The sequence below is a fragment of the Homo sapiens genome, chromosome 12 (assembly GCF_000001405.40).
Source record: "Homo sapiens chromosome 12, GRCh38.p14 Primary Assembly".
Taxonomy (NCBI): Eukaryota; Metazoa; Chordata; class Mammalia; order Primates; family Hominidae; genus Homo; species Homo sapiens.
In genome coordinates this window covers 113,279,404-113,301,683 of record NC_000012.12, presented here as the reverse complement: position 1 = coordinate 113,301,683, position 22,280 = coordinate 113,279,404, and the positions used below count along the sequence as shown (strand labels likewise).

General features: G+C 54.0%; 2 protein-coding genes and 1 non-coding gene across 20 annotated transcripts in view, besides 5 other annotated features; 1 reads left to right on the top strand and 2 right to left on the bottom strand.

Moving 5' to 3' along the window:
• Window positions 1-2,913, top strand: part of SLC8B1 (solute carrier family 8 member B1) — a 36,339-nt gene extending 33,426 nt beyond the window's left edge. For all 4 annotated transcript variants that reach the window (NR_152403.2, NM_024959.4, NM_001330466.2 and 1 more), the window contains one exon: window positions 1,710-2,913. Coding sequence is in view for 3 of the 4 variants with exons in the window: in NM_024959.4 (NP_079235.2) it covers window positions 1,710-1,907 (198 nt within the window). In the remaining variant the exon portion in view is untranslated. The remainder of the gene's footprint in view (window positions 1-1,709) is intronic.
• Window positions 1,566-1,860: a silencer, noted in NCBI's record as "tiled region #468; K562 Repressive non-DNase unmatched - State 5:Enh". NCBI's record gives its function as "represses a minimal TATA promoter and a strong SV40 promoter by Sharpr-MPRA in K562 cells {active_cell/tissue: K562}" and the evidence as "EXISTENCE:reporter gene assay evidence [ECO:0000049][PMID:27701403]".
• Window positions 1,899-2,594: an enhancer, noted in NCBI's record as "H3K27ac-H3K4me1 hESC enhancer chr12:113736895-113737590 (GRCh37/hg19 assembly coordinates)". NCBI's record gives its function as "activates a minimal SCP1, AML or CMV promoter by ChIP-STARR-seq in naive H9 embryonic stem cells {active_cell/tissue: H9 hESC(naive)}" and the evidence as "EXISTENCE:reporter gene assay evidence [ECO:0000049][PMID:30033119]".
• Window positions 2,595-3,292: an enhancer, noted in NCBI's record as "H3K27ac-H3K4me1 hESC enhancer chr12:113736197-113736894 (GRCh37/hg19 assembly coordinates)". NCBI's record gives its function as "activates a minimal SCP1, AML or CMV promoter by ChIP-STARR-seq in naive H9 embryonic stem cells {active_cell/tissue: H9 hESC(naive)}" and the evidence as "EXISTENCE:reporter gene assay evidence [ECO:0000049][PMID:30033119]".
• TPCN1 (two pore segment channel 1) overlaps window positions 3,099-22,280 on the bottom strand; it is a 77,122-nt gene continuing 57,940 nt past the window's right edge. For 11 of the 15 annotated variants that reach the window (NM_001143819.3, NM_001351346.2, NM_017901.6 and 8 more), the window contains 14 exons: window positions 21,489-21,533; window positions 17,047-17,103; window positions 16,913-16,966; window positions 15,723-15,795; window positions 14,590-14,697; window positions 13,450-13,521; window positions 12,837-12,926; window positions 11,441-11,556; window positions 10,686-10,732; window positions 10,007-10,075; window positions 9,726-9,810; window positions 8,611-8,750; window positions 8,335-8,415; window positions 3,099-5,724 (listed from right to left, as the gene is read on the bottom strand). In NM_001143819.3, coding sequence (NP_001137291.1) covers window positions 5,608-5,724; window positions 8,335-8,415; window positions 8,611-8,750; window positions 9,726-9,810; window positions 10,007-10,075; window positions 10,686-10,732; window positions 11,441-11,556; window positions 12,837-12,926; window positions 13,450-13,521; window positions 14,590-14,697; window positions 15,723-15,795; window positions 16,913-16,966; window positions 17,047-17,103; window positions 21,489-21,533 — 1,154 coding nt within the window. In that variant the 3' untranslated portion in view covers window positions 3,099-5,607. Of the gene's footprint in view, window positions 5,725-8,334; window positions 8,416-8,610; window positions 8,751-9,725; window positions 9,811-10,006; window positions 10,076-10,685; window positions 10,733-11,440; window positions 11,557-12,836; window positions 12,927-13,024; window positions 13,088-13,157; window positions 13,522-14,589; window positions 14,698-15,722; window positions 15,796-16,912; window positions 16,967-17,046; window positions 17,104-21,488; window positions 21,534-22,280 lie in introns of those variants that run through there. The other 4 variants (XM_017019480.3, XM_047429011.1, XM_047429016.1 and 1 more) reach the window with 3 other exon arrangements.
• On the bottom strand, window positions 10,076-10,161 carry MIR6762 (microRNA 6762). The gene has a single exon (NR_106820.1). It is a non-coding gene; the product is annotated as a microRNA 6762 (primary transcript).
• Window positions 13,797-13,964: an enhancer, noted in NCBI's record as "experimental_24616 CRE fragment used in MPRA reporter constructs". NCBI's record gives its function as "activates a minimal promoter by MPRAs in K562 erythroleukemia cells, with activity observed for both the introgressed and non-introgressed 12:113725608 variant alleles {active_cell/tissue: K562}" and the evidence as "EXISTENCE:reporter gene assay evidence [ECO:0000049][PMID:34662402]".
• Window positions 20,822-20,991: an enhancer, noted in NCBI's record as "experimental_24613 CRE fragment used in MPRA reporter constructs". NCBI's record gives its function as "activates a minimal promoter by MPRAs in K562 erythroleukemia cells, with activity observed for both the introgressed and non-introgressed 12:113718583 variant alleles {active_cell/tissue: K562}" and the evidence as "EXISTENCE:reporter gene assay evidence [ECO:0000049][PMID:34662402]".

The window sequence follows — 22,280 nt, the reverse complement described above, 5'->3', positions numbered from 1 at the left end:
CACTCAGTAGATACTTATAGCTGCCATTTCTTCAAAAACCTTATGGGCTGGGTGCGGTGGTTCACACATGTAATCCCAGCACTTTGGGAGGCCATGGTGGGCAGATCACTTGAGGTCAGGAGTTCGAGAACAGTCTGGCCAACATGGTGAAACTCCATCTCTACTAAAAATACAAAAAAATTAGCCAGGCGTGGTGGCAGACACCTGTAATCCCAGCTACTCGGGAGGCTGAGGCAGGAGAATCACTTGAACTTGGGAGGTAGAGGTTGCTGTGAGCTGAGATCACGCCATTGCACTCCAGCCTGGGCAACAAGAGTGAGACTCCATGTCAAAAAAAAAAAAAAAAAAAAGCCTTATAAAGATTTTTTCCATTTTATTATGAAAACTCAAACATAGAACAGTTAAAAGACTTGTATGATAGACACACATATTCCCACCACCCAGACTCTACTGTTTATGTTTGGCTGCCTTTGCTTTGTTGTCTGTTTGTCCATGCCTGTCTGTCCATGCCTCCATCTATTCTTTTCTTTTTTCTTCTTTTGTTTTTTGAGATGGAGTTTTGCTCTGTCACCCAGGCTGGAGTGCAGTGGTGCAATCTTGGCTCGCTGCAGCCTCCACCTCCCAGGTTCAAGTGATTCTCCTGCCTCAGCCTCCCGAGTAGCTGGGATTACAGGCATGTGCTACCACACCTGGCTAATTTTGGTATTTTTAATAGAGACGGGGTTTCACCATGTTGGTCAGGCTGGTCTCGAACTCCTAACTTCAAGTGATCTGCCCGCTTTGGCCTCCCAAAGTGTTGGGATTACAGGCCTGAGCCACCCTGCCCGGCCTAACGCATCCATATTGTTTCTTGATGCATTTCACAGTAAGTGGTGAACATCCGCTTGTGCATGTCGTTGACTAGAGTTCAGCATTAAAAACAGAGGGAATTATAATGACATCTGACTCGAGGCAGGGGAGAGGCACCCAGGCAGGTGGACCTGGCTGAAGTTGGAAGAGAAGGTTCCTTTTCCCTGCTGTTTCTGCGTCTGGAAACTTCTGGGGCCACGTCTGGGTAACTTCAGGGTGGGGCATGCCATCCCACAGGGCAGGCCGGGCTGCTGCAGGCCAGTCTTCCTTAAGTGGCCCCCAGCTGGTGCCCTCAAACACTGTTGAGGCTGCATTGTTGTTGTTGTTGTTGTTGTTATTTTATTTATTTTTTGAGACAGAGTCTTACTCCATCACCCAAGCTGGAGTGCAGTAGCACGATGTCGGCTTACTGCAACCTCCGCCTCCTGAGTTCAAGTGATTCTCCTGCCTCAGCCTCCCCAGTAGCACACTGCCATGTCTGGCTAATTTTTGTATTTTTAGTAGATACAGGGTTTCACTGTATTGGCCAGTGGTCTCGAACTCCTGGCCAATACAGGTCGAACTCCTGACCTCAGGTGATCCACCTGCCTCAGCCTCCCAAAGTGCTGGAATTACAGGCATGAGCCACTGTGCTCGGCTGAGATTGCATTGTTGTTGAGGGTGCATTGTTGTTGAGGGTGCATTGTTGTTGAGGCTGGATTGTTGTTGAGGCTGCATTGTTGCTGAGGCTGCATTGTTGCTGAGGCTGCATTGTTGTTGAGGCTGCATTGTTGTTGAGGCTGCATTGTTGTGTTGGCCACAGACGGGGCGGGGCCTGTGACGGGCAGTGACTCAGCCTCTCTCCCCTCATTCTTCCACAGCTGGAGCCAGACGGACTGCTGGTGTGGGTCCTGGCAGGCGCCCTGGGGCTCAGCCTCGTCTTCTCCCTGGTCTCAGTCCCATTGCAGTGCTTCCAGCTCAGCAGAGTCTATGGCTTCTGCCTGCTCCTCTTCTACCTGAACTTCCTTGTCGTGGCCCTCCTCACTGAATTTGGAGTGATTCACCTGAAAAGCATGTGACTGAAGCCGCTTAGTGCTGTGGCCTCACTGCAGGCAGGAGCCCCGCCCCTCCTGCCGGGGGAGGCCCAGGGACCGGAGCATTTCTGCAAGGCCCTTGTGGGCACGAGAGTGCGGCCCTTGCTGCTGGAGATCTGAGGTCACTGCTGTGAGCTGGGAGAACTGCTGTGTACCTCTTGCTGCCAGCACCCAACAGCCTTGCCGTGGGGACCTTGGAAACCTGGCTTTGCTCTGGACAAAGGGTTCCAGAGAGAAGCTAGAAGTCCCCCTTGAATGACCCCCAGAGCCCCTCTGAGAAGGGCTGGAGTTTGGGGGAAGGGGATGGCTGGATGTGCTCCAGGCCATGCTGGAGGTACCCCCGAGGCACAGGCACTGCCCGTTCCCCTTGCCTGGGCTTCAGGCCTTCTGGCACCTTCTCAGGACACAAGTGGCTGCCCAACCCTGACTCAGAGAATGAGGGTGGCTTGGACCCCTGGGAATCAGGCCGCCGAGGGCTGAGCTCCAGAGCCGCACCATCTGCCACAAACAGAATTCGAGACATACTTAATTTTGAATTTCTCCTTGCCACGTTAATAAAGCCAAAAGCAGCGGGTGCTATTCGTGGCAACACACTTCACTGAACCCACTTGCTTCCAAAACGATGCCAGCCCGAGGCACTGCTACGCCAGCAGCTGCCACATGGGATGGTGGCTCAGGCGCTCCCTCCAGGATTCTGCCCCTGCCTGTCCACAGACTCCTTTGTGCTGGAACCTGGGCTCCTCCAGCTGCCAGGCAGGAGTCGGTAGGACTGTGCCTGTGCCTCCCTCAGCGGGGCCCTGGGCGGGGTTCCAAGGCCTGCGAGCTGGGAAAGGACAGATGAGGGGACCTCGTGCCTTCTTGCTGTCATGCAATGACCCCGCCTTATGTTGCCGAAATAAGCAACTCTTAGGTTTGCCTGACTGCCTTATGCTGGTAAAGAAAAGGGATTCAACTGTCTCTTTTCCAAATAAAAAAAAAGTCAAAATTTCAAGTGTAGAGAAAATGACACCCCCAACTTTTACCAGTTCTTCCTCACCTGGGGCCAGTGCCAAGTGGCTGACCCCAGGGCACAGCTCGGGGTGGGGCTGAGGCAGGATCAGGAATGGCCATGGCCTTGGATGGGGCCACTCTCCCGACAATACCCAAAGCCACAGAAGTCAAGAGGCAGCAGCCATGTTTACAAAGCAGAGGCTCTTTTAGTAATGTGCTAGAAATCCAGAGACACAATGGGTTTTCTAGGAAACAAACCACCAGTGTACAAAACCGTACAGCATTGCTCCCGTGATCCGTACAAAATGATTGTCCGCATGGTGGAGTAAGGCTGGGGCTGTGGGAGGGGAAGCGAGGAGCTGAGGAGGGGCACAGTTCTATTGCCACCACCACCAGGCTGTGCCCCTGGCCGCCAGTGGGTGCCACTTGGGTGCACTCAACTATGACATCAAGGATGAGAGGGCATCTGAGCTAGATCACATCCCAGGGCCCACAGAGCTCACAGCCTGTGGGGGGACCCCAACTCCCTGCTGGGTGGGGCCAGGCATAACCTGGGGATAGCTGTCCCTAACCTCAATGACAAGGGCACCCACCCTGGCTGGACTCCCGTCTGTTGACACTGCTGCCATTGGGTATTTGTCAGGTCCTGGCCAAAACCAGGTCCTTTCTCAGGACAGGGTTGGGCAGATGGACACATTAACTCGCTCTGGACAGGGCCGAGATCCCACTCCTCCTGGAATAGGCCCCCCCACCTCGGGGCCTTGACTCCCCTGGGCAGACCCCGGGGTGCTGCTGGCCCCTCCACGTTTCCACCCCTGGGGAGGAAGAAGGGCCCAGGCGAGGCCCAGATGCTCAGGTCAGAGACTCACACCTTTAGAAGCTGTCCCCTGACCCTTGCTTCCAAAACGCCCATTTCAACACACAAAAGCTAAAAGGCACCCAATTGTGCAATAAAGTTCCCTCTCTGTGAAAGGGAGGGGGTTCTGGCCTGGGGCTCGATGTGGAGCTCCTGCTGATGGCCCATGGCCCTCCAGAGAGGAAGAGGACAAAGCCAGTCTGACTCCCGGGGGAATCACAGTGAGTCTCAATAATGTGTTGCTTTCCCAAAGGGCTGTGCTTTAAAAACAAACACCTGCTACTTGTCCAACTCCCCTGACCTGGGAAGGGGGGAAGGGGAGAACCATGCCGTGCTGGCTATGGGACCCAGCTTGGCCTTGGAGGTGGTTGGGAGGAGGGGGTGGGGGACCAGGTACTGCTCCCCTGGGGTCGGGTGCCACCCTGCCCGTTCTGTGGCTGGGAAGAGGACAAGGCCAGAGGGAGGCTCTGTCCACCTGCCTTCTGAAGTCACAGGAAGCAGGCACCAGAGGGCCGGGGCTGGCCAGGAATGCCCAGCAGTGCACTCCTTGCCCTTCGCACCCTCCATCCTGCCACTGCGGCTCCTGCTGCAGAACCTATGCTGTGTTCCGTTCTGTGGCCCAGGGAAGCGGAACCAAAGCGACCTCTGCACTGACCCTGCCTCTGTGGCAGGGTCACTGCAGCTGGCAACCCTCCTACCTCCACCACGCTCAGATGTCATACAGGGCTCCTACAGGGTACCATGGTGGGAGGAGGGGTGGCGACGTTAACTGAGGTTCATCTGAACCTACTTCTGCACCAACCGCTCCTGCTATGGAAATCTCTGGTGTGAGCAGAGCCAGGGAGGGTGGCTGGGAACTGGGCCGGGGCCACGGGGCTGCTGCGTCCCACAGGGAGCGTCTCTCTGTGCTGTTCGCTCCTGTTCCTAGTGCACACGTGTGAAGGACCTGGTATCGGCTTTAGCACAATCCTTAGTTAACCAAAACGTTGTTTTGCTTGAACGGGTAAATCGCAAAAAAAGGGATTTGGTCAAGAGCCCATTCCACGAAGTGGTCTGGGTTGCAGACATCGGCCCCACTTCCTGCCTCATGCCCCTTCCTCCGGGTTCTGGGTCCCCAAGGAGGCCACTGTGGAAGAGTTTTCGCCAACAAGGGTTAAGCCAGAGAAGGCTGGGTGGGAGGCTTGCAGAGCCAAGGGAGGAGATTGGTCAGTGTAATCTGTGGCCGCCCGGCACTGGCTAACTGAGCTCTGGCCACATGGGCCCAGTTGCCCCAATTCCGCTTCCATTAGATCCTGGGCACTGGTCCCCGAAGAGGTGTTGCGTGACATTATCACAGACACTGAAATACCACCCTGGAGACCGGGAGTTCTTTCCTTCCTAAGTGGTTCTGTCCCTAAAGCAAAACACAGAAACCTGTGGCATGGGCCGCAGGGAGAGGGGGCGGGCACGCCATCAGGTCGGGGGGATGTGAGCCTGAAGCAGTAGCAGTGACAGCTTTGGACGTGGCCGATGGAGGCCAGCCCACATGAGGGGCAAGCCCCGCAGTCGACTGGATCCAGGTGAGGGGTCTCCTTGTGAAGGGCCTTCTGGAGCCTTCCACAGTAGGAAGAGCTCAGACCTGGTGGCCGCACCCCCACCCCTCACCAAACTGGCTTCTGGAGTTAAGGAAGACAGGGCAAGGTGGTTATAAACCAAGCCCCATCTTGTCTGTCTTTTTTCTTCCTGTATATAAATATGTGCATATACGTGAGTATGTGTACACACACCGCAGTTCCGTACATCGCAGTAGAGTAATACTATTGTGTTATTGCATAGAAGAGACGGCTTTCGGGCGCTGGGCTAGGTAACGGTCTGGGAGCGCTGGCGGCTGCCTGGGGGCTGCTGGGCGGCGGGGGCTGCACTGCTGCTGAGTTGTCGCTGCTGCTCTTGCTCCCTGGCATGCTCCTCATACCACTCCTGGAGAAGAGAGCAGAAGGGGTGCTGAGGGCTGCACCCCACCCCCTGCCCCGCCCACCCCACAAGGTCACACAGCCCACAGCATCCAGGCTGGAAGGGGCAGGGCTGCCAGCCTCACCCAGCTGGTACTGAAACCCCCGTCACAGGCCCAGAAATGCTGGGAATTTTGAATGTGGCCCCAGAGGCAAAAATGACAATGAAATCTTTCCCTAGTGTCTGGAGGTTTGCGCATAACAGCTCTCTAACAGGCCCAGGCAGGAACAACCCTCACCCCTTGTTTGTGAGCATAACCTTTTGTCCTTCACTAAAGGGCCCCCCGAGTGACCCCTTTTGAGCTTGGCAGGAATTGTGTCCCTGTTTCACACCCGAGACACCGAGGCTTAGAGCTGTATTGTGCTGAATACCTCACCTGCCTAAGGCCATGATTATAAACTCTGACATTTTCAGGGACTGAGGTATTCAGGTAATTAAGGAATTAAGTATACCCCACATTTCCTTTTTTTTTTTTTTTTTTTTAGGAGACAGAGATTCACTGTGTGGCACAGGCTGGAGAGCAGTGGCGAGGTACGGCTCACTGCAGCCTCCCACTCCTGGGCTCAAATGATCCTCCCGCCTCAGCCTCCCAAGCAGCTGGAAATACAGGTGTGCACCACCATACCCTACCCTACTTTTTAAAAGACTGAACCATAGACTTTTAGAGCTTCGAGATGGCCTAGTTCTGGCCCCCTTGTTTTACAGAGGGGGAAACTGAGGCCTGGAGCAGATGGACAGGCAGAAGGGCAGAGGCCAAGGGCAGCACACCTCCTTCCAACCACACCTGAATGGGTGCTGCTGCACAGTCATCCCCTTGCACAGACAGGGAGGCATGGAGTGACTGCCCAAGGTCAAACGCTTCTATTATTTCCATGTTTCTGTGACACCAAGTTCAGTGAGCCACTACACATCAGCCCAAAGAACACTGCCTGAGTCTCTTGTGTTCCCGGAGAATGTGTAAGCTGCTTTGGGGACAGCACCCCCCGCTTTTCAGGCATGGACCCTGGTTGTCACTGTTTTAGTGAAACAGAAGGGCTTCAAGCTATTAGAATGCCAGAAAACAGAGCAAAGCCACCATAGCTGGTGTGGGAGAGGCTCCCCGGAGCCCTGGCAACCCTGAGGTGGTTGAGAAGACTCTGCAGGGCTCATGGGCTGGTGGCCCATGGTCTGGAAGGCACCGTGCCAAATGCCAGCCCACACGGTGCTTTGTGAGATATTTTCCTTAGCTGCCAATATGTAAAGATTGGGAGGTCATGCAAAAAAAGAAAAACATCTGATTCTGCCTTTTTTTTTTTTTTTTGAGACAGAGTCTAGCTCTGTCACCCAAGCTGGAGTGCAGTGGCATGATCTTGGCTCACTGCAACCTCTGCCTCCTGGAGTCAAGTAATTCTCCTGACTCAGCCTCTTCAGTAGCTGGGATTACAGGTGCACGGAACCAGGCCTGGCTAAATTTTGTAATTTTAGTAGAGACAGGGTTTCACCATGTTGGCCAGGCTGGTCTCGAGCTCCTGGCATCAAGTGATCCGCCTGCCTTGGCCTCCCAAAGTGCTGGGATTACAGGCATGAGCCACCATGCCTGGCCTGCCTTTTCTTAAATTAGAAGCCAAGGTGGAAGAATTGCTTGAGACCAGGAGTTTGAGACCCCAGCAAGACCTCACTGCTACAAAAATAAGGTAATTAGGGTGTCACAGTGCACACCTGTAGTTCCAGCTGCTTGGGTAGGCTGAGTGGGGAGGATCACTTGAGCCCAGGGGTTGGAGGCTACAGTGAGCTATGATCACGCCACTGGACTCCAGCCCAGGTGACAGAGCGATACCATCTCTAAAACAAAACAAAACAAAAAACACCCAATTATGAAAAATCCCAAGCACTCCCAGCCTGGCCAACATGGTGAAACCCCGTCTCCACTAAATATACAAAAATTAGCCAGGTGTGGTGGCGTGTGCCTGTAATCCCAGCTACTCGGGAGGCTGAGGCAGGAGAATCGCTTGAACCCAGGAGGCGGAGGTTGCAGTGAGCCTAGATCGTGCTGCTGCACTCCAGCCTGGGAGACAGAGCGAGACTCCATCTCAAAACAAAACACCAAGCAGCCCGACCGCAGTAGGGCCTTCTTCCTATTGGGCAGCACTCGCTGGGGCTGGGAGGAGGCTGTGTCCCCTTTGGACAGGCACATCCTGGAGCTGGGAGGAGACTGTCTCCTTTGGACAGGGACATCCTTGCCAGTTCACCACGGTCGCCGCTCTTTCCTCTTTGCTCACTGTGTTTCTTAGTACACATGTTTGAGTTTGCAGCTGACTCAGAGTAAGAGATGGAGAGGAGGTTCTGGAGAATTCATAAGGGGCAGGGACATATGGCGGCAGGCAGGCTGGAGAGCTGCCTCTGCTGGGCACGAGTCAAGGGTTCAAGGCTAAGTGAGCCCCGCTCAGGTCCCACACAACCCCAGCAGTGGTCCCGATGGACGGTCTGCATCTCTCTACCAGCCTTCTCCCTCTACTCAGAGGGCCAGAGAGCAGCTCCCTGCCCCTCCCAGGACATAGCTTGGGGGAGGATTCGCAGCGTGGTCGGCCAGGCTCCTACCTGGATCTCCTCCTGGTACATCTTCAGGCTCAGGTCGCTCTTGGTCCTTGATCGCCGTCCCAGAAACACCATGGAATGTTGCTAAGGAAGAGCAGAGGCTGCAGGGCTCGGCTGCAGATATTCAGGTCCCACCCCTGGTGCCACAGTTGGCGTCTCCCACTTCTCTGGCTTTTGCAACTGTGTCACTCAAAATGTTACCAATATCTGAGGGAAGGGATTATGCCACCCACACTGAAACCTGCCTCCCTCCTTCGGACCAGGGCCTGGGCTCCTCACCTGGTATCTCTCCATCTGGGAGAGGGTCTCCAGCAGCCTGGTGACATCCGAGGAGGCCCCCCGTGCCTCCCGGTAGAGCTCCAGGACGGCAACCAGCTCTTCTTTGGAGATTTCCTTCTCAAGGGTGATGCCACCATCAACTGCAGGGATGGAAGGCAGGTGTGGGAAGGGCCCGGGGCTGCAGCTGCCAACCTGGCTGGGTCTCGTACCTCCTTGCCCCCTTCCGCAGGGGGTCTTAAGGTTCTCTCTCTAAACCGACACTGCATTGGTGTCCTGCTCTCCTCGTTGGCCCTCCTTTCCCTTCCCCTCCCTCTGCTGTGATGTCAGGAGCGCAGGTCTAGCTGGCAGCTGTTACAGGGCCAGAGGGTTTCAGGAAGGGGCCTCTAAGCACAGAGAAAATGGTCAGATGGTCTGATAGCACAGAGATCTGAGGATGAGAGGTAACAAGTGTGGGCACAGGGTTTTCTGTTTCTTTTAAGAGACAGGGTCTCACTCCGCTGCCCAGGCTGGAGTGCAGTGGTGTGATCATGGCTCACTGCAGTCTTGACCTCCTGGGCTCAAGAGATCAAGTGCAGACAGTTTTGATGGAGAATTTGGGAAGAAGGGAGGGTCAGCACACAGAAAGCTGTGCAATCTGGGAAGAGTGAGGCAGTCACTAAAGCCAGCACCATCCAGTTGCAGCAGGAATACGATTCGCCTGTGCCATAAGCAATATTTACACCATTTAAATCAAGAACCGTAGTGTGAACCTATTATTGAGAAACGTGGAGATGACTAACAGAAGAAATAGCCAAGAAGGAGAAGCCTCTGGAGGACGGGAGGGAAAGGCAGGGCAGGGGCTGCTGCTGCCACATAAGCCTTTCTCTACTTCTTGATTTTTCTCCAACTATGACATGCTCTGTCTTATTTTAAAGTTAGATTACGTTTTCTGACATTAAATATTTGAAAATCAATGCAAATACAAGATCTAGAAAGACAAGCCAGATAGATAAGCTGGACAGCCAGACAGCAGAAAAATGACAGCCTGATGGCTGGCTGGACAGCCACCCAGACAGACAGACAGAGCTGGGTAGGCGGCAGATATCAAATGCCCAAGGCATCATCCCTGCACAGACCTTCCGAGTCCTGGTTCTTGCGGCTGTAGTTCATTCGGAAGACGAAGGCCTCGAGGATAAAGGCGACAATGATCGTCATCACCACCTGGCCAGGGATAGGGAGGGAGGGGCAGAGGCAGGGGAGGAGGGTGGGTAGGTGTCCGTGGCTGCGCAGCCCACGCCCAACAGAGTCCGGCCAGATGGGACCCAGCCCCACTCCCTGACGCTGCAGGCTGAAGAGCAGGGGCAGCTGGTGATGTGGAAGACGAAGGACAAAGAGCGTTCTGTGGTCCGGGACCTACCATGGTCACAATGTAAAAGGTCATGAAGTAGAGGCGGCTCCAGTGGGAGGTCTGAGAGGTGACGCCTTCCTGGAGACCAAGGGAAGCAGCCAGTGAGGGGGTGCCCATGCAGGGCAGGTCCCCGTCTACACAGGCTGCTCCATGGCCCCGGCTCTTCGCAGACCCCACCGTGATTTGTGGCTGGTTGTGAGAGATGGAGGAGAGGAAGCTTGCCCCTCTGGGCCTAACACTAATTCCTGACTGCTGAAGGAGCCCTGGCCACTCCCCTGGACGACTGGATCCAGAACCAGGGCAGCCTTTATCCCAGTAGGGCTGGGAGTCGGGAAAGTTTAAGGAATGGAATAAAGAGATCAGCAATGCTCGCCACTTTGTCACTAGAGGGAAAAGTCATCTCTACAGTGGGCGAGACAGGACAGAGACCCAGAGTCTAAGTGGCATCTCCTGGCTGCTGGGGACATGCAGGGAGATGGGAGTAACAGCCGAGTCCAGCCAACACTGGGAGGGGTGGCTCCTGGGGCCCAGCCATCCTGTGGCCTCCCCACTGAACACCAACACAGCATGACTCAAGACCCCCAGCCCTGCAAGCTACGGGAAGAATTATATACTCTGGGTTGGGGGAGACCCAGGGCCGACCCCAGGGCTGGCGGGAAGATACCCCCAGAGCTGCCCGAGCTCTTACCATGATGATGTACCAGTTGTTGACAACTGTGAGCTCAAACAGGGTCACTGCCGAGGGAAGAGAGAAAGAAGCATCCTGATGAGACCCCACTTCAAAGTCAATTTCAAGTGGCCTCTTGCCACCTATCCTGGGTGCCATGTGCTAAGATGAGAGGGTCACCATATGACCGCTTGGGTTGTGAGCTCCAGGAAAGACCAGGCAAGGCACTCCTAGGGCGCTGGCTCCACAGGACATCATGGCCTGCCCCCAAGAGAACACACCCTCTGCCTCAGCAGCCTGTGCCACATCAGACTATCTGGATCTTACTGGGTGCAGATCTGGGGTGTCATGGGGGCACACCCTTTTTCTGGAGAGGCGGTTTGGCTGTGTTCGCCTCTTCATGGGAGTGGGCAGAGGGCTGTGTGCAGTCTGAGCCAGGGGGCAGTGCAGCTGCAGCAGCAGTGGTGTGGCTGGGTCCCATTCTGCAAGTGGCACTGTGATGAGGGGACCCCGCCCAGCTAAGGCTTGCAACTCTTGTCCTCCCCGGTACTGAGAAAATATCAGGAAAGAGTGGAATCAGGCAACTGAGTGAGCTCCAGGATCCAGCCTGGACTGTACTGCCAAAGCTGGGCAGACCAAGTCCTCCACCTGGGCCAGGGAGGCTTCCAGAAAGTGTGGCCCAGACACTTGCTACACCACCTCTGGGACCCGTGGTGACAAGGGTGACAAGGGTGGGGTCCCCAGGGAATGTGCCCCCTGTGATTTTTCCCACTCACCAAAGCTGTTGAGGATGTTGTCAAAATTATTGAGATAATAGTAGCCTTCCTCCACCACGGTCCTGTTGCCCACGGTGTGGTTGCGCCAGCGGTAGGCATCTGCCACTGTACTCGTGCTGGCCGGAGCACAAGGGAGAAAGGAGGGAGGGTCACAAGGCGATCAGTCACCTCCAGAGAGGACAGAAGTCTGAAACAAACCGAGTTCTGGCCAAGGATCCTTCTGTTCTGCCCGCAGCCTGGTTTCCTGCCTAACCCTCTCCACCTCATGCCTGGGTCCCTGCTGAAGGAATGCCCTTGGCTATTCCTGCCTGCTGGGCTTGGCGGGATCCCCTGGCCAGCCTGACCCACCTCTGTCACCTGGAAGTTGTCTGCTGCAGGCAGGGCCTTCTCTCTCACCGTTGCTTGCAGGGGAGGGAGGAGAGGCAAGGGCCTCCTCTGCACCTGCCCCATCTAGGATCTGCTCTTGAGGCTGGACACTAGGCCACAGTCCCAGGGAAGGAATTCCCTACTGGGGCTTCCCCAATACTTGGCCTGAGCAAGTATTTGAAAAGGTTGGCCCTGTTTTGAGGAGCTCTTATTTGCCACTTTCCTTCCAATCTTTTATGGCTGTTCTGTTAATATCCATGCTAATGTTTATAAAAGTCTAGTGCTTGGGCCACCAGGGAGCCTCCTCCCACACGCATGCATCAGACACAAGAGTGAGGTCTGGAGCTTGCACTAAGCTCCCTGGTGACTGCAATGGGCTCTAAAGTCTGGGACCCACTGCTATAGGCTTCTGGTTCCAGACCAAGCTTGACACTCAAACTGGGTCTCAAAGCTACCAGTGTCTTTGTAAAACTGTTTCTTCATCGGTGCTTGAGGCTGTAAAGACCAAATGTAAGAGGACTCTCTGAATTGAGGATGAATGAATGGCAGTGTGCAGTGATTTCACTGTGGCGGCTCAGGAGAAAGGGAGTGCTCATGGGAGATTTCACTCTCTGCTCCCCATCCCTGAGCACCATGACCTTCCTGCACGTGTCCGTCTGTCTTATCCTACGATGCTGTCCCTAGAAGACTGGTCTTGGCCCAGGTCCCCAGCCACTCCAGGAGAGAAGTGGGAGGAAGCCATGGGACTTGACCTTGGGACCCAGGCTACTGTGGGGGTGGCCTCCAGCCCTCGGCAGAGGGTGAGCTGACAGCTCCCAACCCTGCCTGGGGGATGGAGAAACAGGGACCCCGAGTCCAGGCCCCTCATTTAGCTCACTGCACTCAACTAAGCCCTGAAAGCAAAGCAAGGTGGTTGCTTAGACAGGAACATCCCCGAGGACCCCAAGGCCACAAGGACACCAATCCTGGCCCTGGCCAGCCCTCTGCCCGGGAAATGCAGGCTGCCTGGGGCTGGGTGGGGCCTACTCACTTGCAGCAGTTGGGGAAGACGATCCCGCAGAAGAACTCCATGCCCACGATGGCGAAGGAGTAGTAAAAGATGAGCAGGGTGAGGCCCAGGCTGTGGGGCGACAGGGGCAGGGTGACGCGGGGCCGGCAGGAGGGAACGGCTCCTCTGCAGCCCCGGCCTCCTCGGACCCGTGGGGCTGACTGCAGGGCCATGCCCCTGGTCGGTTCACCAACTGGAAAGTGCCTGCGGGGAAGGGGCCTCGTGGGGCAGCTCTGGGGTGAAAAACAGCTCAAGTCAGGACGCTATGAACAAATGCCCCTTTCCCAGAGATTCACCCCTTACCTGTGAAGGTAGACTCACAGGTGACCCCTTACCTGTGAATGTAGACACAGGTGGTAAGCGAGTTGACAGCTCCCTGCCCTCCCTACTAAATATGTCAGACAGGTCAGTGGAGAAAAATGGTGCCCAGGAGACCTGTGGTGGTCAAGATTCCAGGCTCCTTGGAGCCCCGTCAGGCCCTCGATTGCAGTCCTTTGTGGAACTCCTTTCCCCCGACTGCCACTCGGCTCCCGCCCCCACGGGGCACTGCCACACGGCACCTGGACCTGCAGGCCAGGGTGGGGGCTGGCAGTACCTGGCCATCCGGGGCAGCAGCTCGAACATGGTGTCCAGCACGTTGCGGTAGCGCTCCTTCAACTTAAACAACCTGAGCGAGGAGGACACCCGTCACCTCCACACACAGGTGCACGCCTCAGCCCCCGCCCTCAGAACATGCCGGCCCCGCCTTCCACACGCCATGCGGTGAAGACAGGTGAGGGCCTCTCCTCCACCTGCGTCCACTCCCTTGGGCGCCACCAACCCTGAGCTGGGCTCAGGTGATTCATGCATGAGGGAAGGGATGGTGGCAGCCCCAGGACACCGGCTGGGCGGGGTCCTTCCACGAAGAGGAGCAGGGCCAGGCCACATCTCCTTGCAGTAGAGCTGCAGGCTCAGACAGGAGCAAGGCCTTGCTCCTGGGAAAGAGCGGGGAGAAGCCCATGTGCCCCGGGGAGCGGGGGCAATGGAGCTCACCAGTGAAGAAGGGTGGCAGGGGGCGGGACGGAGGCGGACACTCAGGAGCAGCCCCAGGCCACCCCCACACGCCAAGGGGGTAGGCTTTTCCTCCATAGACGCCACCACCCCTCCCCGCACCTGCCCCGCCTGTCCCGCCTTGGGAGAGGATGGGGCGGACGTGGATGGGGTTGCAGCTGGAGGGTCAGGAGGCAAGCCCAGGCTCTGAGGGCACAGGACCTCGGGACCCCTCATTAGGAAGAGACACCGTCAGTGGGGCAGGCTCGTCTGGGACTTTCTCCAGTGTCCCTGGGAAACCAGTGGGACCCACACGAGGGTTTTTCTCCATAAGACGCTGAGCCAGAAAAGCACGCAGGGCCCCTGAAAGGCCCTTCCAACCCTCAGACCTGTGGCTCTGTGATCTGTGACTTGAGCATATGGGCTCCTGTCGCTGGTGCAATGCCACCTCAGGTGGGGTGCACATGAGTCATGGGCTGGGTTTCTCTGCCCAGAGGCACCTGGTGCAGTGAGGGGAAGGGCACAGGCAGCCTGCACACCCTCAGGGGTGGGGATGTTGACCCCATGGTGATTCTCCAGGGGGTGACATCTGTGACTCTGGCTTGTGAACCTTCTGGCTCATTCTGGGTCACTTCCCGGATCAATCCTGGGGCATTCCCGTCCTCCCTCTCTTTCTCCCTGTCTCCGGCTCTGCCCTGCCCATCACCTCAGCAGCTGGAGGGGGCGCAGGACCACGATGAAATAGAAGGGCTCCATGTTGAGGGCCAGCGCCAGCAGTCCCAGGAAGGCGAACACTGTCACGGAGAAGTCAAACCTGCAGTAGGGGAGAGGCCAAGGTCCACCCTGTGGCCCTGAGCCTACCTGCGCCTGCTCCCCTCCCTGGCCCTGTGCACAGCCACCCTCCCACAGAGCCCAGACACAGCAACACCAACAGGAACCAGCCGGCTGCGGGAAGAACTTCCTGCCACCCTGGGGTTTCAAGGTGGCCAGGCCCTGTCCCAGCATGCGTCTCACGGGTCAGGCCTCAGTGCTCTGACCCCAAGGCCAGAAATGCCCGGGAACCCCTACAAAGGGCCCCATGCTGGTCTAACGACAAGAAGGAAAGAAGCCCCGGCCTCTGCAGCCCTGGCCTCCGCAGCCCTGGAGACAGGCCTCGTCTTCCGCTCAACAGACATCTGGTTACACACTGCAGACCAGCCTGACCCCAAGGAACTTTTTGAGGGAAGAGAGCAGGCCCTTCCAGTGAGATTCCCATCGGGAGAACAGCTCGCCCTGCCCCAAGCCAGAGGACCCTCTCTCCTCTCCAGACACGCAGGGCACACACGTGCTGTCGGCTCCTCCCAACTCCGCTCTGCGTGTTAACCCGCTCACCCTCGCGGCCCAAGACCTCATGAGTGCAGCCTGACTTCACAGGCCGGTTAACTTGAACAGGGCAGGGAAGTGACCTCCAACGCTCTGGGGAATAGGGAGAAGGGCCACATGGGGTCTCATTACTGCTGATCAAGGAAGGGGGGGAGCATTCTTTTCTGTGGGCATTGTGGCTTTTATGGAAGAGAAAAAAGTTTAATGAGTCAGGAAGAGCCAATCAGTCTATGGCACCTCAAGAGGCCGTTTCCAGAAGGACGGTGTGGGTGGTCTGAGAGGCTTCAGACAAGGGCCTGACCCTGGGGAGTTCCTGGGCTGTGGGCAGGGCTGCTTGAGGGAGACATAGGCCTCAGCCCATCCTCAGACCCTCCCTCTGCGATTCCAGAAATGGCCCGGGATCAGGGTGTGCAGAGAAGGGTCTGGGGCCATCCTCAAGAGTCTCAGCTTTGGGTCAGAAACATGCTGTCCACTCACAAGTTCCATCCGGAAGACAAGTACTCCACAGGGCCCAGGCCGGCAACCTTCAGGAACAGCTCCACCCCATAGACTGTGGACAGAAGGAATCCATCGGCAGCAGCCCCGCCACATCCTCCCCCATGCTCGGTCTCCTCTTTGAGGCTCCTCCACAGTCTGCAGCCTCCCTGCTGGCCATAAGCCCTCCAGGCTGAGCCCAGGCCTCACTCATGTCCCAGCGTGAGAGCAGGTGCTCCAGGAGAGGGCCTAGATGGTGGCCAACTGGGTAATCTGCTTAAGAGAAACTGGCCAGGCATAGGGGTTCACACCTATCATCCCAGCACTTTGGGAAGCCAAGAGAGGAGGACCACTTGAGCCCAGGAGTTGGAGACCAGCCTGAGCAACATAGTGAGACCCCATCTTTACAAAAAATACAAAAATTAGCCAGGCATTGTGGCGCTGTGTGCCTGTAATCCCAGCTACTTGGGAGGCTGAGGCTACTCGGGATCCCTTGAGCCCAGGAGGTTGAGGTTGCAGTGAGCTATGATCACGCCACTGCACTCCAGCTTGGGTGACAGAGAAAGATCCTGCCCCAAAAAAAGAGAGAGAAATCCTCCCTGCCTGTCTCTGGGCAGGGCCCAGCTAACCATCTGTCCATCCAACAGGTGTGTCCTGACTACCCCTTCTACCTTGGGCCTTGCATTGGGTACCAGGTGTGCAAAAGTGACCAGTGCAGGGCAACCCTGGGGGCACAGAGCTTATCAGCTAGGTGGGAGGAAAGACGCCAACAGGGAATGACAACACAGTGTGCTCAGACTTGATGGAAAGAGCAGGAAAGTCAGGCAGAGGTTAGAGGAAGACACCACCAGGCAGAGGAAACCCCTGTGCACAGCCCAGAGGCAGGCAAGAGCAGCAGGGAGCAGAGGCTGCTGAGGAGAGCAACAGTGTGCAGCGGGGGACACGGCGCTGGCAAACAGCAGGGCTGCAGAGCCGAGTGGAGGGTCACACACGCCTAGGATCTGGGCTCCATCCAGAGGGCAGCGGACAACCACGAAAGAGTTTTAAACGGGGACGAGATGGAATCAGACTGATTACTCCGTCTCTTTATAGCTTCCTGTTTTAGAGAAGAACCATGAGGTTCTACACTGAATGAAAGTTCTCCCAGACAATTTTAAAACAAGCAGTCCAGCAAAGCCATGTCGGAAACGTACTAGTTAGAAAGACGAGGTAACTCCAGGGCACGTGCTTGGAGAAGAAGTTCCCACCTGTAAGACAGAGAAGTAGCAGCTCACAGGTAAGCCAGGTGTGCCGGCCAGGACACGGCCAGTCCCTGAGCGGGGCTCACCTTTCAGCATAAATGTCTCCACGAGGATCCAGACCCCGTTGACTGCCACCACCAAGTCTGAAATACACAGGCCCGTAAAAGACAGAGAAATAACAGGGGGGCTTAGAAATCTGCAGGTCGCAGCTGAAGTCCCTGGTTAACTTCCTGGAGCTCTACGGGATGGGGAGAACAGGGCTGCTCCACACACCCATTTGATAGGGAACTTCTTTCTGCTCAGTGCTCTTACCAAGGGAGCTAAATCAACCAGTGTTTTCACCTAGAAACAGCTATAAATTTCTAAAAACACTCCCTCTGTCACTGTATGAATACCAGTTATGATGTAGAGATTATTCCAAATTGAGGTAAAAGAGGGACAATATACCAGGCATTCAAGTATTGAAAACACTTGTTTTCCCCTAGAGACTTCTAATTTTAAAATAATTGCATGAACTCTTTAGAAAAACTGCATATGCATTAAGCCATTCGCCTAGCAATCCCACTTTCCAGAAACCATCCCAATGACACACTAGCAAAAATATAAGATGTATCTGAAAGCTACTCACCGCAGCACTATTGTGATAGCAAAACACTGGCAACAATCTCAATGATCATCAGTAGGGGACTGGTTGAACAGACTACGATACATTCATAAACTGGCATACTTTAACCATAAAAAAGAAACACAGGCTAGGTACAGTGGCTCACACCTGTAATCCCAGCACTTTGAAAGGCTGGGGCAGGTGGATTGCGTGAGCCCAGGGGCTCGAAACCAGCCTGGGCACACAGGGAGACCAAATCCCTGCAAAAAATAAAAATAACTAGCCAGGTGTGGTAGTGTGCACCTGTGGGCCCAGCTACTCAGGAGGCTGAGGTGGGAGGATCGTTTGAACCCAGGAGGTCAAGGTTGCAGTGAGCTATGCTTGTGCCACTGCACTCCAGCTTGGGTGACAGAGCAAGACCCTCTCTCTAAGAGAGAAGAAAGAAAAGAAATGAGGTACATTTCTACATATTACTTTTTTTTTTTTAAGACAGGGTTTTATTATTACCCAGGCTGAAGTGCAGTGGGGCGTGATCTTGGCTCACTGCAACGTCCACCTCCTGGGCTCAAGCAATCCTCCCACCTTAGCTTCCTGAGTAGCTAGGAACACAGGTGCACACCACCACGCCAGCTAATTTTTGTATTTTTTGTAGAGATGGGGTTTTGCCACATTGCCCAGGCTGGTTTTGAACCCCTGGGCTCAAGCAATCCACCTGCCTCTGCCTTCCAAAGTGCCGGAATTACAGGTGTGAGCCACCACACCCAGCCTCATTTCTACATATTACGGTCTCCAGGGCATATTGTTAACTGCAAAAAGCCAGGTGGCAGAAAAAAGTGCATAAAATATGCTATTGTTTAAGACAGATATATTGATAGGTATCCAACTTACAGGTTTTAAACAATGGAAGGAGAAGCCATACATAAAAGTTGCCCACTGTGGGAAGTGACAGGGATATAAACTAAACTTCCTTCAATATACTTTTTTTGGTAGATCTGACTTGGAACCATGTAAGTATTTTACATAATTTTTTTTTGCTTTTTCTTGAGATGGAGTCTCACTGTATTACCCAGGTTGGAGTGCAGTGGCACCATCACAACTCACTGCAACCTCTGCCTCTCAGGATCAAGTGATCCTCCTGCCTCAGCCTCCCAAGTAGCTGGGACCACAGGCGTGCATGGCTAATTTTTTCTATTTTTGGTAGAGATGGGGTTTCACCACATTGCTCAGGCTGGTCTCGAACTCCTGACCTCAAGTGATCTGCCCGCCTCGGCCTCCCAAAGTGTTGGGATTACAGGCATAAGCCACCATGCCCAGGCCTAATTTACATAATTATGAAACAAAATTTGGGTTTTTTTTTCTTGAGATAGGGGGGTCTCACTCTGTTGCCCAGGCTGGAGTGCAGTGGCGCGATCATGGCACACTGCAGCCTCAACCTCCCCAGGCTCAGGTGATCCTCCCACCTCAGCCTCCCAAGTAGCTGGGACTACAGGTGTGAGCCACCATACCCAGTTAATTTTTGTATTTTTTTTTTTGTAGAGACAGGGGTCTCACTATGTTGCCCAGGCTGGTCTCAAACTCTTGGGCTCAAGTGATCCACCCGCCTCGGCCTCCTGAAGTGCTGGGATTTTAGGTCTGAGCCACCATGCCCGGCCATAAAACAAAATTAAATGCCAAAAGCAATCCCCCAAAATAAAAAATAACATGGCATAAAGAAATCCAAATGTGTAGGCCGGATGCGGTGGCTCATGCCTGTAATCCTAGCACTTTGGGAGGCCGAGGCAGGTGGATCAACTGAGGTCAGAAGTTCGAGACCAGCCTGGCCAACGTGGGGAAATCCCGTCTCTATTAAAAATACAAAAAAATTAGCCAGGCGTGGTGGTGGGTGCCTGTAGTCCCAGCTACTTGGGAGGCTGAGGCAGGAGAATGGTGTGAACCCGGGAGGCGGAGCTTGCAGTGAGCCGAGATCACGCCACTGCACTCCAGCCTGGGTGACAGAGTGAAATTCTGTCTCAAAAAAAAAAAAAAAAAAAAATTAGCCGGGTGTGGTGGTGGGCACCTGTAATCCCAGCTACTTGGGAGGCTGAGGGAGGAGAATTGCTTGAACCTGGGAGGCAGAGGTTGCAGTGAGCCAAGATCATGCCACTGCACCACAGCCTGGGTGACAGAGATAGAGTGAGACTCTGTCTCAAAAAAAAAAAAAAAAAAAAGAAATCCAAATGTGTATCCAGTTGGTGACATGTCCACATGGAGAGGAACTATCCCACATGACCTTAAAACACAAGGCCAAGCACACTGGCTCACACCCGTACTCCCAGCACTTCGGGAGGCCAAGGCAGGAGAATGGCTTGAGGCCAGGAGCTTGAGACCAGCCTGGGCAACATGAGGCTACCCCGTCTCTACAAAAAATTAAAAAATTAGCCAGGTGTGGTGGCATGCACCTGTGGTCCCAGCTACTCAGAAGACTGAGGTGGGAGGATGGATTGAGCCTGGGAGGTCAAGGCTGCAGTGAACCATGACTATGCCACTAGGGCACCAGACCTAAGTCTTTGTCTCAAAACAAACAAACAAAAAAACCCACAGTAATCTGAATGTACATCATTGGAATGATGTTTCTAGTAATTATATCATTGGGATTGCTTTGCAATTGTTATCCTGGGACTGTGAGACAAAGCAAATGAATAACTGTGCCAGTGTAGTTGGGAACCTGGATATTTATTTTTTTTTCTTTGTTGGTGTCTGATTGTCTTCAAAGACAACCTGGATTTTAAGATTGAGAATCTAGGCCAGGCACGTGGCTCACGCCTGTAATCCCAGCACTTTGGGAGGCTGAGGCAGGTGGACCACCTGAGGTCAGGAGTTCGAGACCATCCTGGTCAACATGGTGAAACTCCATCTCTACTAAAAATACAAAAACAGCTGGGCGTGGTGGCACACACCTGTAATCCCAGCTACTCAGGTGAGTGAGACAGGAGAATCACTTAGAACCTGGGAGGCAGAGGTTGCAGTGAGCACAGATTACGCTAGCCTGGGCGACAGAATGAGACTCTGTCTCAAAAAAAAAAGGATTGAGAATCTAGACGTGTAAGATTGATGAAATCAGTCTTACACATCTAGATTCTTAATCTTAAAATTGCTGTAGGCCTGAATGTGAAGTATTAGCATGAACGCACAACAGTTTATCTTTAAAAAAAACAAAACCCTAGTTCTGTCCATGGAAAGGCCTAGAAACAATGACCAACCCAAGCAATGAGCACCCAGCACCTCGAATTGTGTCTCTAACACCATTTCCTACTAAAAGGAACCAGAGCTCCTTGGAAAGACCAAATTGGATCAAGCCTCTAGGTTAGTACTGTCCAAGGGAATTTTCTGTGACAATACAAATTTTCTTATCTGCACAATCCAATTGGTAGTCATTAGCCATTTGTGGCTATTAATCACTTGAAATGTGACAGCTAAGCTGAATTTTTCATTTTAATTAGCTTAAATGTAAATTGCCACATGTGGCCAGTGGCTTCCACACTGCACAGCATGGCTCTAGACAGAACTACCAAATTCCAGGAAAAGGCAACAGAGGAACATACAAAACCCAAATCCTGCTTCCTCACCTAAATGAGGTGAGGAAGAGAAGCCTATAGATTAAAACAAACTCAAGAGACATATCGACCAGTCAACTCTGTGGTTCTGGAATTTGCTTCCAAAAAATCTAGGTCTAGAGAGGATGATGAGCCGGAGTGAAGATACAGATGGGTGATGGGCACGGGGATGCGTGTGGTAATGTTCTCTTCACTTTTATACATGCTGGGAATTCCCCACAATAAAAAGTCAAACACAGGACTCTAGGACCAATCTCTTGCCTCTCCCGCTTCTAGAACAGCAAAGGACTCAGGGGGAAAGTGGCCTAGAGTGGAGATATTTCACACTTACACATGAAATACTGGAAGGCCTTGGACTTCACAAGGATATTAATACCTATTTGAAGAAAAGACAAGTTAAAATGTAAATTTACGCACTTGTTCCCCCTACTGTATCCTTAATTATTATTATCTCTTTCTGGGCAGGTGCAACCACCTACCACACTCTTCGTGCATGCAGGTAAGCATGGTCTTTACCCCAGAGGTGAAGAAAGGAGGGTCCTGCTCAAAGAGTGGTACCCATGCTTCTGCTCAGACCCCCAGACAAGACTGCACTGACTACAGCTGCTCTGGGGGGAGCCTGAGCAACCTGGAACCAAGATAGAGCAGGACAAAGCTCTCCTGATCACTGCTGAAACTGGCATGAAATTAAGGGGCAACTGTCAGGTAAATAATACGAGCACCCAATTTCAAATTTTCAAACTTTACACTACACAAGCATTATTCAAGGGGTCATGCAAAGTATACATCCTGCCATAAGAGGAGGGCAAAAATATATTATCGGGGTCGGGCGCAGTGGCTCACGCCTGTAATCCCAGGCCTTTGGGAGGCCGAGGTGGGTGGATCACGAGGTCAGGAGTTCAAGATCAGCCTGGCCAGCATGGTGAAACTCCATCTCTACTAAAAACACACACACACAAAATTAGCCGGGCATGGTGGCACATGCCTGTAGTCCCAGCTACTCGGGAGGCTGAGGCAGGAGAATCGCTTGAATCTGGGAGGCGGAGGTTGCAGTGAGCGAGATCGCACCACGGCACTCCAGCCTGGGCAACAGAGCGAGACGCCGCCTCAAAAAAAAAAAAAA